Raw genomic sequence first — 19,226 nt, 5'->3', positions numbered from 1 at the left:
TCAGCAGTGACATTAACACTGCTAAGGAGATGTAATCAGTAATAATCACTAAGTCTTTTTTGCGAGTAACATTAGAAGCATAAACATAGGAATTATTACCTGTGGCAACATGATGTCCCATTCCAAATATGGCATAAATTATGGCAGGAAACAGAGACCCATATAAACCAAACACTGGGTGCACAGATGAGAGAACAGCAAAGGCCAATCCTGTGAAGAAGACTAGGGTAATTAAAACCACCTTATAACCCCAAGACACAGTCTGTTACACAAAAGAATAGGTATTGGTTTACTTATAGACAAAATGAATCATACTTTATTCTACTTGCTCAACAAGAGTCTAGCATTATTGCCCTAAATAAAAGAAAATTCACGCTTTAGTTCATTGTTATGATTCCAAAAACCATTATTTTTGGACTAATGCTTTTTCCTTTGATTGCAGAGATGTCTACAAAAAACAGTGGTTCAGAGAGTCTTCCTGTTGAATGGTAGGTTGGACAGTAACATTGTAAAATATCTCCAGGCACACTAAAATTTTAGAAGCATTTCACATGTATAATTTTATGTGCACAATAGCATCTGTAAGATAGGCGAGACTAGAAGATTTACCCCTGACAGATGAGAAGCCTGAAATGGAAGGGGAACTAGGGCTGGACAAAAAGGACGCATACTCAACATTGGCTGGTTGGCCAGCTGCACAGCCAGCTTGAGACTGTGTGTCACAGCAGTAGGGCCGATGAATAAACCCATGTGCTTCCCAACTAATGGGACCTTGGCTTATATTTCAGGTACAGTGTCTTAGAGTGGAAAAAGAAATCAACTTTTCTTACTCAAGGAGTAAGAAATAATTCATAACTGTTAATTTTTATTCCTTGTAAAGACTATTGCCTACATAGTTGGTATGATACATGCACATGGAAAATTTTCTTAGACATGTCTAAATGACCACTGGTGGTTTCAACGTGACCAAAATATCTACAAGTAAGGGTTCATAAAATTATCTTGATTGTGGCTGATCCTTGGAACGACAAATTCATTCAAATGTTTCAATTAAATTGGGCATAAAGGACTTTACATGTTACAAAGAGACTTGAGAATGGAGGAGGCATTAGATTCTGGAGTCTCTGAATATGAGGCAGGTAATTATTCACACTATAAAGCCTGGCTGTCTGATTCTAATATCAATAATATTTACTGTTGAGCTTTTACCATTTTTAAATTAAATGAAATTCCCTTCTTAATAAGCTCCGTAGTTATCTTTCAGATATTTTTCAAGCAGTAGAAGCCACTTTTGCTGCATTTAAAATACATGAAAAGTTAACCAATGACCACTCCTTTCTTCTTTTTAAAAACCATCTGGGTTGCTTGTTTGCTGGTAATGTATCCCTACAGTCTGGTGAAAATACGATAAAAGTGATTATAGAAGAGTCAGTGGCAGAGGCTGTTCTAGAATTTCATAAAGGCATGGTGAGAGGTAGAAAGGATGGTGTTAAGGGGCAGGTCTTGAAGCTTCATTAGTATTGGCAGGCTAAATATTTCCCCACCTCTACCAAGAAGCACCTTTTGGCATTTTTAGTGTAAGCAACTTTGTAAAATATACTGTTTACATCAGCCATATGAAAAGCTAGAAAACAACTTTTTCTCATCCATTTTTCAGAATAAGTTACCTGATAAAAATTATCTATTAAGAGACAGAAATGCAGAGTGTTCCTAAGCAAGAAAAAAATGTAGCTCGCACTTTATAAGATCACAGATTGACTAAATCAGTGGTGGAGAAGAAAGGCATATTTAGCAAAAGCTCCTGGATTAATCATATGGACACAACATTCTGATAAATGTGGTCAATACTGACAGGATCAAAATTGTTCAGAGGTAGACCCATTTGGCTGCTCTGCTTGCAACAGGCAAACGTAACATAAAGCTGGAAGCAGCTGGACCCTCTTATCTTACCATATGAATAGCGTGAATAGCTACCTCCTGCTTATCTGTCTGCCTTATTACAATAACAGTCATCTCTCTCTGTGTTTATCCCAAATAAAATCTATAACAAACTTAGTTTAAAAACTGGATTTTCCCAGATCTCATGTTCCTATCAAATTAAAGTGGGAATAATCAAGTAAAATATGTTTAATTTTTCAATGGTCTCTAGACCTGTAAATTAAATACAAAATATCATGTCAGGAGATTCTTCTACAACAATCTCCAAGACCAGAAATCATGTAGACATTTCCTTTATCTCATATTACACTGATATTGAAATTTTACTTTAAACAACAATATCATTCGCCCTCAATGGAAACCCATTTCTCTCTTAATGTGGCAATGAACAATGGCCAAAACACAGGAGGAATGAACTAATTCAGATATACAGTACTGTAAAACATCAAGTATCCTTTCCACAAATAAGAACTACAAGGCCCAAGACCAGCCCCCACACACGTACCTCAAAAAAAGGAGAGACAGCTGGATAAAGTTTCCTTTTTCTGATTCATTTATTATTCTGGTTCATAATATAAACTGGTTACATAGTCTCATACATGAGCATATGCACACACATACACACACATTCACACAAGCTAAAATATGTTAAGTCCCCCCAAAATAGTGAATATCTTAATAAGTCGCTAACAAATTAGCAGAATTATCTCTACTTTCTCTGTAATAAAACATGGCTTTCAATTCAAATAAGAGCAAAATTACCACTCTCTAATGCTACTATTTCGGGGAAAAATATTGCAAATGCCGACAGATACTTATGTAACTTAATCTAATTTAGATAAGAGCAAAAGCAACAACAACAAAAGTATCAAGGAATAGACACAGTGTTAGGCTAATGGGTCTCAAAAGAGGATGGCTGAGGGGATGGATGAAATCTTTACATGGCTGATTATTTTTAGAGGGACAATTATTTAATGGTAATGTAAGGCTGATTCAGCCACAAAAGAATGGTCACGAGAAGACTTTGAAAGATGAAATTTTTAAGAAAACATGCTTTGTAGGTATGATAATGGTTACAGGAGAAGAAATTCTAGATTCCCATATCAAAATCACCAATAGTCTCAGGGTTTGTGAACACTACCAACCTTTCGAGAAGCCCTTAGTGTGAAACTGAACATTTGCCACCAGTATGCCTTGTCCCTCCAACCCACGCTGTGCTGAGATTGGCTTCCCTAGGCACAGTGCCTGACCCCAGACCAAGAAGGGCCATGAAAGCATGTAAGTAGCTCAATCTCTGGCTCTGCTCCTACTATAATCTTTTGGCTGAGATCACTAGAAAGTGACTCAATCACTAGTGATGAGAAAGTGAACTATTTATCACAGAGAAGATTTATATATTAAAATTCAGATTTTTATTTCAGTTTCAGACTAGTTTATTTAGATTTATATGACATTATAGCAAGTATTCAGAAAACCAAAGAAACACATGGAGTTTAGAAATTGAGTAATGTACCTGAATTAGAAATTGGTGCTACAATTACACATAGAAAACCCCTCTGTTAGATACTCTATGTTTTGTTGGCCTAGCAGCCTTACCTTTTTATTGTAAGATCAGACAGCTAGGACTTAGAAGCACTAGTTTTGTTCCTCTCAGATATGAATACAAGACCAACAATATTTTATAGACCATAGCCATTGGTTATGGAGCTTCAAATATGACCCAGAAAACTAGAGCTAACACAATTCAAAGGAGCAGCTATTACAGTAGAATTTACTGCCCCAGAAATGTCTATCATCTTCATAAAGCACTTCTTTATGCTTTATGGGTTGAATTGTGTTCCCCTAAAATTTATATGTTGAACTCCTAACCCTGAGTACCTCAGAATGTGATCTTATTTGGAAAAAGGTCATATCTTACATAGTTAGTTAAGATGAGCTCATCGTGGAATAGGGTAGGACCTTAATGCAATATGACTGGTGTCCTTATAAAAGAAGACCATGTGAAGAGACATGCAAGCACACAGGAAGAACATCATGTGACAATGAAGGCGTGTGAACGCCATGTGAAGATGAAGGCATGTGAAAACACATGTGATGAAGGCATGTGAATGCCACATGAAGATGAAGGCGTGTGAACGCCACATGACGATGAAGGCATGTGAACACCACATGACAAGGAAGTCGTGTGAATGCCACGTGAAAATGAAGGCGTGTGAACATCATGTGAAGATTGAAGTGCTGTTTCCAGATGCAAAAGAATGTCAAAGCTTGCCAGCAAACCACCAGAAGCTAGAGAAGAGGCATGGAACAGATTCTCCCATCATGGCCTTCAGAAGAAACCAAACCTGTCAACACCTTAATTTTGGGCTTCTAGCCTCAAGAATAAATTCCTGTGGTGTAAGCCACCCTGTTTGGCACTTTATTATGGTCACCCTACACAACTAATTCAGGTGACAATTTTTAGAGGGAGACAGAAAGTAAGAGGTCACTTGATGCTGGAGAGTTCAACCTCACTTTCTGCACAGGATCAAATCACTTGTGCTTAATAAATATTAAATAATATTACAACCTTTGTACTTCTAATTCATAATCCCCAAATCTCTATAATATCATTTAAATTTTGTATTAGGAATCATAAAAGTAGCACCAATGAAATTTAGTTTCTAAAGAAGGTTATGAGGTTATGTTGCTAAATGTAAAGATAGTCTTTTAAGGAACTGCTTGCTTAATACTCAGATGTAAGAGTTAAAGTTTCATCCAATCTCTGCTATACATGGTACCAACACTAGAAATTGTGTTAGCAGGATTCTCAAGGCAATATTCTCAGGACTCAATATCTGTAACTTTTAGGAGACGAAGCCTGTTCAATGTCTAAAAACAAATGTGAATAAAGATAGGCCAATCATATTTGGAACTGTGGTTAGTCTTTTAAAGCTTTGTAGAATTAAGTTTCCACAAAAAGAAACACAATTTAATTGTCTCCTTCGTCTCTCCAATCTCTGGTGCACAAGAAAGAAAATATTTGCAAAATATCAAGATGACTGACTAGGCTGACTAGCTCATGTAAAACCCTAAAGGCTCCTGGCCTATACTCCCAGCCTGCTTCTAACCAGAGTTGCTGTTAGGGTATTCACCACATTTTTGGGGAATAAGAACACAGTGCCTCTTCCCAGATGATCTAACCCACCTTATTTGTGACCAATGACAGAGAAATTACCACTCAGAAAAACAATTATAAATTTCCGCTATCTTCTACAAAAATAGAAAACTAAATATCTTCTACAAAAACGGAAAACTTTTAGTTTGGCTAGTTTCTATCTATATGTATCTATCTATATATGTATATACACATATTTCTCAAAATCATGTTAAAGTACTGTATTCATTTTTTTTAAGTTGCCAAACCAAAACCAAGCAATGCTTTTCAGTTAGTTATAAGTATTGGGCTCACAGATGGATTACTGCATTCGGCGATGGTAGAAAAGGAACTCTAGGATTTGAGAAATTTATTTTAAAAGCAAAGCCAAAATTCTTGTCCTAATAAGTCTTACCACTCAATAATTCATAGTATTATCCAACTAACACCCCCTCAGTAAAGATATTTCATATGAATAAAAGCAAGCCAATGACAAAAGCTTAAGTATTTCTTCTAAATACCTGAGAGTTGGGAGTGGAGATGGCAGAGTGATGTCGTGAATATTGAGCTTCAGAGTTATTTTTGCTTGCATTTAAAAACTTAAGCCTAGAATGGCTAAGGAGAGAAGCACTTTAAAGTTCTCATCCCAAAGAATAAAGGCTAAGTACCAATAATTTCCATAAGAGAAAGAGTAAGAGTTATGAATTTGGAGAAAATACCAACAAGAAGACCGAAAGAAAAGAAATGAAAGATTCAATCCTGTGCTACATTCTTTGATCACCCAGTTAAGGTCCTGATGAGTAGCCTTTTCAATGAAAATGAAAGGACATCTTTTATGAACAAGAGGAATGGAAAAGAAGGTGAACCTGAGGCACTTTTCTAGGTAACAATTAGAAAATAGGAATAGCTACCTCAGGAAACATGAAGGTGTTGTACAAATTCTGTTCTCCCTCTCCCTATTCCTCTCTCCCTTCCCCATCTTTCACTTCCTCCCTCTCTCCCCTCCTGGACTTCTCCCCTTCTCTTTCTGTATTTTTAAGTTTATCTCATATATTCTCTGGCTCTGAAAAAGGTGGTGGAAATATCTTGAATCCCTTAACATTAGGAGAGTGGAAAGATAAAAATCTTGAGTCAGATACCCTTCTTCTAAAAGTCGAGTTTTCCTTACACAAAAGTTCTAGAATGTTTTTAGCTCACATTTATGGTTTCATGGAAACATGAATGATTTTTTTAAATTTTTTGCTACTAAAAATAACTAAACAATAAAGGGGGAATTACTGACTGGATCCCAGTTAGTCTTACAAAAAGGAGAAATGCTTATGCTGAGTGCTGAATGAGGAGTAACAGATGAACAAAAAAGCATGAAGAGTAGATGCCTGAGGAGGGGACAAATTTAGGTAGAAGAAATGTGTTCAAAGGCACAGCATTCTGAAAATGTTTGCTTAGCTCACCTGGAATGTAAAGCCATTTGGTATGCTCAGCAAAAAGGACACATGTGACAAAGTGCCAGGTGATGAAATTAGATGGTAAAGAGTCTTCAGTATTAAGTGGTAAGAACTTACCTGAGATTCAGGGTGATAGGACCTGGAACCTACGAGACCTTCTGTTTCCCTCAACTTCCTCTGTGTTGTAAGACTACAATCAGGTTAGAGTTGGCAGGGCTAGGAAGGAGCATCTGAAGTCAAAGTTGATGCCACAATCACAAGTGCTTAGCTGCATTCTCTTTGGTGCCAGAGGAAATCCAACAGACCTAATGACAGAGGAAAGAGCTTGCACCTCCTCAAGCTCAGCAAAAACTAGGATTTTGCCATTGATTAGGGAGAAAGGAGGAGGATTTTGGCCAGCAGAAGCATAGAAGTTTCCTCTATGAACCTTCTGTCTCATCAGCCTGCTGTTGCCTGGGAGGGGTTGTTCCATCCTGTGGCTCTAGAGAAGAACTGCAGCAACACGTAGAAATTCCGTAGTCAGAGAAGCCTTCTACTCAATCCTAGAAATGTCTTCTCAAACCTCAGCTGACTGGCCTCTGCCCACAAAGACAGAATCTGCCTTCCCTTGAACAGCTTCTTGTTCATTCCTGCTTGAGAGAGCCTAATGGCCAGGTTGATGTAGGTGCTGAGAGAACACATACCCTGATTAGAACTAACTTAAGTGGTTAGTTCTATTTTGGTTCTCAAAATAACCAAAGGGAGGAGATCAAACTGAATCTAACAGTGAGTACACCTGAACGAAAAATGATGGCCTCAGTTAGCTGAGAAGCTGAAAAAAGTAATCATGTGCAAATTTTACCTCAATAAGTGTGACTAAAAAATAAGAACTCCCAAAGAGATATCAGCTAGCAAATACCAACAAAAGATGTACAACTTTCCAATGTAAAACATCAATAAACAGCTGAAAAGGTATGCTTAATATTCTGAAAAGCACAATACTACTATCATTGTGGCCAGAGAGATGCAGTCTCTAGTTAGGCCAGAGTCACTTCCTATCCCTCATGGCAGATAATGTTGGCTTATAGGAACCAATGGCCCGAGAGTGGGAGGGAGATGATTCTCCAAGGTACCAGAAGAAGAAAGAAAAGATGTGGGTAAGAAACACCTCCACATACATATATACCTTGATCCAGTGGCTTGGGAAACTTTCACATCCTATAAGAATGCATACCTAATATTGTGAATTTAAAACAGTTTATGTACTGGTTGAACATGAAAATACAGGCAGACTTTTGTATTTGCTGGCAATTGGTTCTAGGACACCCCGGGATACCAAAATCTGCAGATTTTCAAGTCATTTATAGAAAATGGCATAGTATATCCAGCCCTCCATATTCCAGGGTTTTGATGCTTCTGGATATGGAGGGCTGATTGTAATTTCAATGCCTGTATCAATATAAAGATCGTTAGACACACTTCTGCACAATTGTACTATGGAATATTATACAGCTCTTTAAGAGACTAAGAACTACACCCTTTAACCGGGAGACATGACCATTATATGTGGTTACACACGAAAAACAAGTCTCAGACTTATGTTTTGTATGATACTCTTATGTAAAAATCCAAAAAGAGGGCTACTGGTGTTTTTTTATATATCTTTGAATCTTTATCACTTTGTACAATGAATTCATAAAACCTATGCAATTTAAACATTTTTGATTAAGACTTTTTAAAGCAATCTGAACATTATCCTGAATTTTAAGGAAGCCATTAGGAAATTTTTTTCTAATGGGAGAAATTGTGATGAGGTTTACTTTTAGGTGATAACTACAGAAGTTATACAGAAGAAAAACAAAATTGACAGAAAGAGCAGTTAGGAAACTACCACAGATATCCAGGTTGTGGCAGTGAAGAAAGGGACAGCATTTCCCAAAGAAATATAGCTCATCATATATAAACAGGTGTTACACATACATATTTTAAAAACTAATCAGTTTCACTGCCTGAGGCTTGAGCACAGAACACTTTCTTTTGGAATACACCACAGGGCCAAAGGTGGCTGACTGGATCCAAAGTACTGAATTAGTCATGTGAAAAGACTGATCAGATGAAAAGACGGAAAAATAAACCAATAGGAATTGCCAGATGCAGAGAAAAAAAAAGTAGGGGAAAAGAGCACAAAGGAAGCCATGGCCAAGAATCTGTGGTAATTCCACTGAAATGGCACTCCTGGCAAATAATAGAAATGTCCTTTTGACTTTGACAAGAGAGAGAGCACTGGTGGCCTTGGCAAGAGGGCTTCCTGGGGAATAGAGCACGAGGGGAACAAGGAGGAGCAAATGGATCTTGGTGGAAGCAGAAGAGGCAGACAATAGGAATTCATCTTTGGAAAGTGCCGTTCCGAAGAGGAGAGAAAGGCTTGGTGCTAAATGGGAACGTGAGATCAAGAAAAGTTGAGTTTGTTTTCTTACAAGTTTTGAGATACGAGAAACTTGAGCCAAGAGACAGATCCAGGTCTCGTAAGTCCTAAATCTTACATATGTTGGGAGGCTTCCCACAGGAAAGATAAAATTGCACATAGAATTAGTTACCTTCCACATAAAAGGTGAAACTATAAAACAACTGGAAGAAAATATTGTGGAAAAGCTCCATGACATTGGTCTGGGCACTGATTTATTTTTTATATGATGCCAAAAAACATAGGCAACAAAAGAAAAAATAGACTAATGGGATTACATCAAACTAAAAAGCTTCTGCACAGCAAAGGAAAAGAGTGAAGAGACAACCTACAGAATGGGGATAAAATATCTGCCAACCATACATCGAATGAGAGGTTAATATCCAAAATATGTAAGGAACTCAAACAACTCAAGAGCAAGAAAATAAGTAACCTGATTTTTTTAAATGGGCAAAGGACATGAATAGAAGTTTCTCAGAAGAAGACATACAAAGGACCAATAGGTATATTAAAATAAAAAATACACGGCTGGGCGCGGTGGCTCACGCCTGTAATTCCAGCACTTTGGGAGGCCGAGGCGGGTGCACACGAGGTCAGGAGATCGAGACCATCCTGGCTAACACAGTGAAACCCCGTCTCTACTAAAAATACAAAAAATTAGCCGGGCGTGGTGGTGGACGCCTATAGTCCCAGCTACTAGGGAGGCTGAGGCAGGAGAATGGCGTGAACCCGGGAGGCGGAGCTTGCAGTGAGCCGAGACTACACCACTGCAGTCCAGCCTGGGCAACAGCGAGACTCCGTCTCAAAAAAATAAAATAAAATAAAATACACAACAACACTAATCATTAGGGAAATACAAATTAAAACCACAATGTGATATAGCCTCACCTCCGTTAGAATGACTATTACCAAAAAGACAAAAGATAAGTGTTGATGAGGATATGAAGAAAAGGAAAGCCATGTATGCTGTTGGTGGTAATGTAAATTAGTATAGTCATTATGGAAAACAGTATGGAGGTTCCCCAAAAAATTAAACATAGAACTTCCATATGAATCAGCAACTCCACTACTGGGCATATATCCAAAGAAAATGAAATCAGTATATCGAAAAGATACCTGCACTCCCACATTCATTGCAGCACTATTCACAATAGCCAAGATAGGGAATCAACTTAAGTGTCCATCAAAGGATAACTGGATTTCTTAAAATGTGATACATATATATATATATATATATATATATATATATATATATATACACACACACACACATACTATGAAATACTGTTCAGCCTTAAAATAAGGGGATCCTATCATTTGTGACATTGTAGATGAATTTGAAGGACATATTAAATGACATAAGCTAGGCACAGAAAGACAATTACTACCTAATCTTACTTACACAGGGAATCTAAAGAAGCTTAACTAATAGAAAGAGTGAAATGATAGTTACCAGAAGCTAAGGTGGGTCGGGATTTGGAGGAGAATTGGAGATATGTTGGTCAAAAGGCAAAAAATTCCAGTTAGGAGAAATAAGTTCAAAAGACCTATTGTATACTATGATGACTATAGTTAATAACAATATATTGTATACTTGAAAATTGCTAAGAGAATAGATTTTAAGTGTTCTTACAACAAAAAAAGTGTGAGGTAATGCGTATGTTAATTAGCTTGATTTAGCCATTTCATACTGCATACATATATCAAAACATCATGTTGTACTTCATAAGCATATACAGTTTTTGTTAATTAAAAAAAGGCAAATATTTATTTAGAATGAGAAATCACACCAAATTATAAATTGTAAGAAGCTGACAAATTCCATGATCCAGAAAAAAATAACATCTTTGCATTAATTTCGTGATATACTTCTATAATACTTTTACTCTATGATACCTCTGTATACATATATAGTATATACTTCTATATATTATGATTTTAGGCTGTATAGTCTTTGAACACTTCTACATATGACAATGATTTGTGTAACATTTTCTATAGAGAGCATAGAAGGATAATTTTGGATTTTCTCTTGTATGTCAGACATCTCTTATGCATCAATTCAGATGTTCTTGGCCTCACCCGTCTCTTGCAGCTCTGCAAGAGCTCTGTCTGACTTCCTGTGATGCAATCTGACAGGTCCTTTTTTTTTTCTGGAGCCGTGGGGCTTCCCTGTTGACACCTGCTCTGGGATTCTGTTAATGCCCACTCATACATGCCAACTCAGAGGAGCACCCAAGGAATAAAACTTTGACCAATAAGAGAGTGAGCTAGAGAATAAATATTTCCACTTCCCTCCTCCCCCTGCCACTGAAAGATGGTCTAGAAGTGACATTGATAGCTTTGCAGGGGGCATGGTCCCAACGATATGGCAGTCAGCCACTCTTGAAGGTAGTCAGCTCTGTAACAAGCATCCTCTCATCTCTCCCTCCTAGTCTCTAGCTCCTGCCCTCTTGGTTTACACTCCCTAATGATATATGGTAGTAGCACATAAATCCTGACTCAGTCACTAATTTGGGGGGGAATAAGCCTAAGATAGCATTGTTTATTTAAGTTTGTTTTTTAATATTGATACATTAAAATATTTTATTTTAGCTTTGTACCAAGTTAATAATATGTGAAGTTTAAACTATAAAATTGAAAAAGCCTCCATTAAAATTCTTGATAGCTGTAAAGTTTTAGGGAATTTTAAGTTTTCTTATACAGAAACATAAATATTTGAATTGCAGACATTAACAAGTTTATTGATAATGTTCTGGTTATAGGGCCATATTATGAGTTCTATTTTATGTCCATCAATGTCAGTATTTTGTGGCAACTTTCTCTTAGCCAGATTGTAAACATATTGCAGCCACTTTGATGCCACTGGACATAAGATGTGTGACCCAAATGAGGTTGAGTTGGGAAGAGACATTGTTCTCAATTTATGTTAAAATATCTTACTTTTAAAATTTTACAAAAATATATGAGCATGAAAAAATATTGACTTTGAAAGGAGCATATGCAAATGGGGATGCAGTATTGAACAGGGCAGATAATGAGCATACAAATAGCAGTTTTATGCACGAATTACCAAAGGCAGTGGGAGAATGATTAGCCTCCACTCGAGAGAGATGTTCAGGAGATAATGCCTTTGTATAAGAGAGCCAGGTTTTAAGAAAGGCAAACAGGTAGAGAGAATATTTTGTGAACATTTTGAAAGTGTGCAGTTTATTCCCAAAGAAAGAGGGGTTCCTGAGGGTGCATTAGTAAAGGCTGGCAATGAAGAAATCACTGGAAGTTCAAGCCAGGGAGAAGGACACACATCTCAGTATTCGAAGGAAAGCAAGGGAAAAGAGGGCTCATTGAGAAAGGACTTGAGGCCATGTCAAGAATTCCAAGGATGACAGGAACCAGAGGCATGTATGTGTGTTGAAACACAAATATACATGAAATATACCATTTCTTTGTTTCTTCTTACCATTTTTACTTCAGACTCTGAGACCCCCAGGTTAGGAAGAGAAAGTGACAGCAACAGTGGTTTCTGGTTTTCTGGGTCTCAATGTTAAATGGAATAAAACGAAAAGTTTCTGTGATATGGAAGGAAGCACGTGATAAGATGAAGTGCATTTTAAAAAATCAGCAGTTTATGGCTTTGTCTGAGATTGCTGGCCAAGGAATTTTTTCTGCTTCAGCAAATTTTAACCCAAGTAGAAAGAGGGACAGTCCAGTGTGAATCCTGATGAGAGTCCCAACATAGCTTCTAACCCCCATAAAACCCAATTATTACAGGAAGGAAATGAGAATGGTCAGTTCAGGTCCAGTTCAGCACAGAAAGAAGAAATAATCTTGGCTACAAGGGGGCTTGATTTGGAGAAGAATTTTGATGAACACCATCTCCTACTCCTATATCTGCTAGAATTTTCATTGTAGTTATATTTAATGGAATCCAGGATTTATAAACAAAAATGAGGCTCATAGCGCCACACTAAAAATCAATGACTTCTTTGAAAAGTAAAAAAATGTCAAATGAATGCAAGATAATAGTAATAATAAAATAATATACAAATGCAAGTTAGTAGTGAATTTGTTTTCTTAAACTTGATTTTGAAATTCTATGAATTATTTTTTCAAGATCACTAATAAAAAATGGCATGTCTTTCTTTTTATGATTTCTATCTTTTGATATTTTAGTAGAAGATATGTTACTTAGCTATATTCAAAATTTTAGAAAAAAAAAGAAGTAATCCCTTGGCCATAAAGTGACAGAATTATGTAAGTAAACATCACACCATGCATGTGGGATGATATCACTTTTCAGATTGTGATTGTTTAATTAATTCAAAAATTTATTATATACAGCCATCATGCTCTGAAAGGGTTAATTTACTACTTAAAGATAATCCAGTTATTTTCAGAGAGGATTAGTTAGCTCACTGGCTTCAAGAGGATAAGTGTGCAATAGCAAACATTAAGGCCCACATGAAAATGTGGAAATACCAAGCAAGGGAAAAGGCACACAACGCTAATCCCTGACTCTAAGCAAGACTGAGAAGCGATTGTCTGGTCAGACCAGTGCATACAGTCATGGTCCAGGCCAGCACTCCCTTCTCACACAATTTACCCTTAGAGGAGGAAGTGGCTTGGACACCCGATATCATACCAAAGCAGTAATGATGTTTCTCTTTGCACAGTGCCATTCCCCAGCAATTCCCCCAAAGTTTATGCACAATAAGCTAAAAGAGAAGGATCATGGATCCACATGTATCATGTAAGGATGCAAAACGTCATTAAAATATTCTTTTAGGCCAGGCATGGTGGCTCACAACCATAGTCCCAGCTCTTGAGAGACCAAGGAGGGTGGATCACTTGAGCCCAGGTTTTCAAGACCAGCCTGAGAAATACAATGAGACCCTGTCTCCACAAAAAATTTTAAAGAAAAAAATCAGTGAAAGATGCATGCCTGTAGTCCCAGCTACTCAGGAGACGGAAGTGGGAGGATCATTTGAGACTGGGAGGTCAAGGCTGCAGTGAACTGTGAACATGCCTCTGCACTCCAGCCTGGGCAACAAAGCAAGACACTGTCTCAAAAAAATAAAATAAATAATCTTTTACCCAGTTATTGTGAAAGTGCTGGCTACATGCCCAGAGACCCAAAATTCTATATTCTATGTTGTTATATATTACAATTATATATTCTATATACATTCTACATATAGAGAGTGAGTCTAAAATGTTAATTAAGCTATATGGTATCTTTTCCTATGCCGTTTTGGATTTGTTTGTTTTCTTTTTCTGTTTCTGTTTTTTAACCAGATAGATGAGGGTGAGGGAGATAAGAGAAGTGGAAGAGAGACGGAATATATGCGCATTTATGCATAGAGTACCTGCAGATGTTGAATGGTATCTATCCAATGACTGATATCAGTGATATATGGAAGTGAATTTCAAAGTACCCATCCTTGGCAAATTTGAGGTAAGAGACTGCCCTTAAAAAAGATGTCTAGAATTTGTCTAACCGAATTGTTTTTGAAAGATTTCTTGCAAAGCTAATGTTCTCCACCTCCTTATCTTCTTACCTTCAGGTAGCAAAGCTAAAATCTAGAAGTATAAAAAATTCTAGAAGTGTCTAGAATTAAGCACTTTGTATGCTTAATTCACCTATCTATGTGCCAGGCACTGGAGATATATCAATTAACAACTCTGCTATGGTTTGAATGTTTGCTTCTTCCAAATTCATGTTGAAATTTAGTTGTCAGTATAAGAGTATTAAGAGGTGAGACCTTTAAGAATTAAGTTATGAGGGCTCCACTCTTGTGAATGGACTAATGCCATTATTGAGGGAGTGAGGTCACCCTCTCTTGCACACACTCTTGCATTCCTTGGTGCTCTCTATCTCTCTTTCTTCCTCTCTCTCTTTCTCATTCTCTTGCTCTCTGTTTCTCTCTCTCTCTCTGTCTACCACTATGTTATAAGACAGAAAGAAGGCCCTTGCCAGATGACAGCTGTTCAGACTTGGACTTCCCAGCCTCCAGATCTATGAGCCAATAAATTTCTGTCCATTACAATTTATCCAGCCTCAGCATTTTATTATAGCAGCACAAAATAGACTAAGACAAATCCAAATAAAAATCTTTGTCTTTGTGGAGTTGATGTTTATAAATGTCATATCCTAGTTTATGTTCTAGTGGGGAATAGATGATAATAATAAGGTTACAATAATAGCATTTATTGAACATTTCCTTTGTACTAGATTCTGCCCTGAGCACCTTATATTCTCTCATTTGTTTTTCAAAGTAACTCTGTGTACTAGGTATTATTGTCCCTATTTTACATACTGGAACACTAAATCTTAGAGCAGCTGAAGAACTTGTTCAAGTGATACATCCAAAGTTAAAAACCGAGATCTTCCTGACAGTTCTTAATTATTTATAAAGCTCTTATGGTGTCTCCAAATCCATATTAAATTCCATGAGAGATACAAAGGGACATAAGATATGAATTACAAGGTCCTCAACTAACACAAAGTTTCATCCAACATTCAACAATTATATGTGCAATTTATAGGATAATTAATGTAACCAAAATTCAGAGAAAGTAGAAAAATTATGAGAAACATAATCACAAAAAAGTGTTATCGGAAGATAAGACTTGAAGTGGGGGTTGAAGGATGAACAAACTTTCACAAATGATGGCCTTTCCAAGTTGCCTACCTTCCTGAAAAGTCACGAAGTTATTTGGTTGTATCTGATTTTGTCACTAAGCATATTTTCCAGTGTTATATTCTTATTGAATTTCACTCTTTGAGTTTCTAATCATTAATTTTTTCTGTCCTGAGAACTGTATGTCTCATATATACATTTTAAGTTTGCTACATTTGGCCCTGTCAATACCTTTGTTTAAACTATTTTAGCACTTGCCTCCCAGAGCACCCTGATATTCACAGACCATATCTTCTCACCTCGCTCTTCTAGCTCTTACCACTCTTAAATGTCAGCATTCCCAAGGTTACTTCCATCCTAATTTCTCTTTCTATTCTACAAACTATCCATTAATTATCTGATCCAATCCCATACCATGACCACAATATATACATCTTTATGATATCCTTCCTAAGGTCTAGACCCAAATGGATAACAAGAGGTCCTGTAGGCACTTATATAACAAATACAAAATGGAAATTGTTTATTTTGGTCCCTCTCACCACCAACCCCTCCATAACAACAAAACAATATGCATTAAAAACAAAACAAAAACAAACACTGGTTGTTTTGTTTATTTATGCTCTATCTCAGAAAATGGCATCACCACCCATCCAGTCACCCAATTAAGAAACCTGGAAGTCATCAAAATAGACTCTTTTTTTCACCCTTATATTACATAAAACACTGATCTAAACTTATCTATTCCACTTAATATGGATGGAATTTGTCCCTCTTTTCTATTCCTACTGCCACTATTTCTGCCTTTGTCTGTTCAGATAACATGCTTTATTTTCCAGAGATAATTTCTCCTAACTAGTCTCTCCTAACTAGCCTCTTGCCTCTTCCAAGCATGTAATGTAAGCTGCTGCCACAGAAATTATTGTAAAACACATGTCCCTCCATAGCCCTCCTTAAGATCCACCAATGGCTCTCCATCGCCTTCTAAAATCAACCCAAACTCTTTTTCTGTGTCATACAAGCCTTTTATGACCTAGACTATGTTAAATTCTCCAGTTTCAATTCTCACCAAATTATATTATTAGAAAGTATTTAAACAAACTTTCATTCTTCTTGTCACTGCATACGTTTTTCCTTTGTCTATAGTGCCCTTCGTCAGTGGTATCTAGTAAACTTTTATGTAGCCTTCAAGATCAGGTAAAAACGTAATTTTCTCTTGAAACTTTTGCTGACTAACAACTTCATCCCCATTCCAGGAAGAGTTGATCGTGCTTTTAATGATGTTAGTTCATGCTATATGTTCTGCATTTGCAGTATCTACCAAAATGATTTTAATTGGTTGCTTTTGTGTCCAGGGGTCCATTTAGATTGCAAACATCTATTATTAAGGAATATTATACTAAGAATTACTTCAATTTATCAGTAAACTATTGTATATCAAGCAAAGTACCAGGGTCTCTTCCATGAAGCCCAGGTGAACACAGAAAGGATTCTGAAAATTATATATTCACCTAGAGTAACAGATAATATGAGGAGAGAAGCAAAGGATCAAAGACAAAAGGAAGGTCCTGACTATCAGGTAGATGAAAGGGTAAGCAAGGCCAAGCAGTCATCATCAATAGGACTGTGAATGAGACATAGAATCAAACTAAGAAGTTCATTACAGAGGCCAGTAACAACCCAACAGTGTTAAAGGCTAGTTTTTTAGGAAGTACTAAGCACAAAAGCTTCTTGTAGATCCTGACACTCTTTCCCCATGAACACCCATAACTAGGTAAAGGTAAACAGTAATTATCCCCTGGCATGTTTCAGTGTTTTTGTGAAGGACTAACTTTCTATAAGATTTCTCGGCCGGGCGCTGTGGCTCACGCCTGTAATCCCAACACTTTGAGAGGCCGAGGCAGGCGGATCACAAGGTCAGGAGATCGAGACCATCCTGGCTAATACGGTGAAACCCCAGCTCTACTAAAAATACAAAAAATTAGCCGGGCATGGTGGCAGGCGCCTGTAGTCCCAGCTACTCGGGAGGCTGAGGAAGGAGAATGGGGTGAACCCGGGAGGCAGAACTTCCAGTGAGCCAAGATCACGCCACTGCATTCCAGCCTGGGCGACAGAGCGAGACTCCGTCTCAAAAAAAAAAAAAAAAAAAAAAGATTTCTCTAGACCACCCCCGAGCCTGGAAGCAGCAGAGGACAAGAATTTTCCTCCCCACATACTTTGGTTCTTTATCTCTAACTTTGCATTCAGATGAAGAAAGTATATAAGAAAATGGTGGTCTCCAAGTTGTCTGAGCTTAGTAAGAAGCAGCTAAAATAATATTTATTCATTTAACAAGCATTAGTAGAATTATCTACTATTTTCCAGCACTGCTCTAGCCACTTAGGATAAATCTTTTTTAAAAAATAGGCTACAATCCCTGCTTTCATGGTGTATACAAGAGAATATGCAGCATACAACAATAAACAATTGACATAAAATATATAAATTATTTAGTGCTATAAAAACGACAAATCAGAGCAGAATAAAAGACATTAGGAAAGTTTGGAGAGCATGGAAGGGAGGAAATGTGAAATGGAATGGTTGGGGTAGGCTCCAGTGAGAAAAATAATATTTGGGCATTGTCTTAAAGATGAGAAGTACACATGCAAGAACAGGTAAAGCTACTAGTATAAAGCAAGATAAATTATAATACCTTAGTTATAGTGGACTGGGGAAACAGTCATTATGACTACAGCAGAATTGAGTGGTTCAGATCTTGACAGAGAAGAGCCATTATCAGATTTTCTTCTTGATGGTACTTGCAGACAGTGGTGCTGGTTAGCAGAAACCTTACCAAGATCCTTGGTACTTTAGAAACCTCTTGGATAACCAGTAATACAGTCCTATTTTAACCTACTACCAAGTTAAGATGATGCTGGTAAATTCAGGGGGATCTTGAGGGTAAAAGTCCTAAAAACTAGCGAAAAGAACAATTTATTTGACCAAGGAAAAGAACTCAATTCATAGAAATTTGAATTTCTCAGAATGTTCCTAGTAACTTCCTCTGTAAGAGATATCCCTTAGAGAGACACCTGAAGTACTCAGCTTACCTATTTCACTTGGTCAATGGCTGCCAGAGATTGGTGGGTGGCAAGAGTATGTGTTCATTGAGAGCTTTAAAAAATAACCACCTGAGGCCTGAAACCCTGGCTGGATTTATCACAAATCTCTGGTGCTCAAGTGGAGCTGTCCCCTGTCCTGGAAACAACTAAAACCCTGGCAATTAAGTGCTGGTGCTCCTTTAAGTCTTTCCCAGGCCTGGAAAGCACTGCAGCTCTGTGTTTTGGTTCTAGTGCAGTGTTTAAGTTCCAATGATCACAGTAAATTTTCCCCAGACCAGGAAACAACGGCAAGCAGTGATTTAGTTTGGGTGCAGCATTTAAGTTCTGGTGCTCACTACAAGTTCTCCCCAGAATGGAAAGGAATAGCAGGCCTGCGATTAAGTTCCAATATTAAGTAGTAAAGGTCTAGTACCACCAAAGAGTACCTCCAAAAGCTGGAAGAAGTGGTTATCTTCTCAAATGTGCAGGAATCAGTGTAAAGATACAAGGATTGTGAAAACTCACAGAAATATAAGACCACAA

General features: G+C 37.3%; 1 protein-coding gene across 4 annotated transcripts in view; it reads right to left on the bottom strand.

The window, feature by feature from the left end:
* SLC26A7 (solute carrier family 26 member 7) overlaps window positions 1-19,226 on the bottom strand; it is a 188,660-nt gene that overhangs the window by 108,810 nt on the left and 60,624 nt on the right. For all 4 annotated transcript variants that reach the window (NM_001282356.2, NM_001282357.2, NM_052832.4 and 1 more), the window contains one exon: window positions 100-210. In NM_001282356.2, coding sequence (NP_001269285.1) covers window positions 100-210 — 111 coding nt within the window. The remainder of the gene's footprint in view (window positions 1-99; window positions 211-19,226) is intronic.

Source organism: Homo sapiens, chromosome 8 (assembly GCF_000001405.40).
Source record: "Homo sapiens chromosome 8, GRCh38.p14 Primary Assembly".
Taxonomy (NCBI): Eukaryota; Metazoa; Chordata; class Mammalia; order Primates; family Hominidae; genus Homo; species Homo sapiens.
This window is presented reverse-complemented; position numbering and strand designations above follow the sequence as displayed.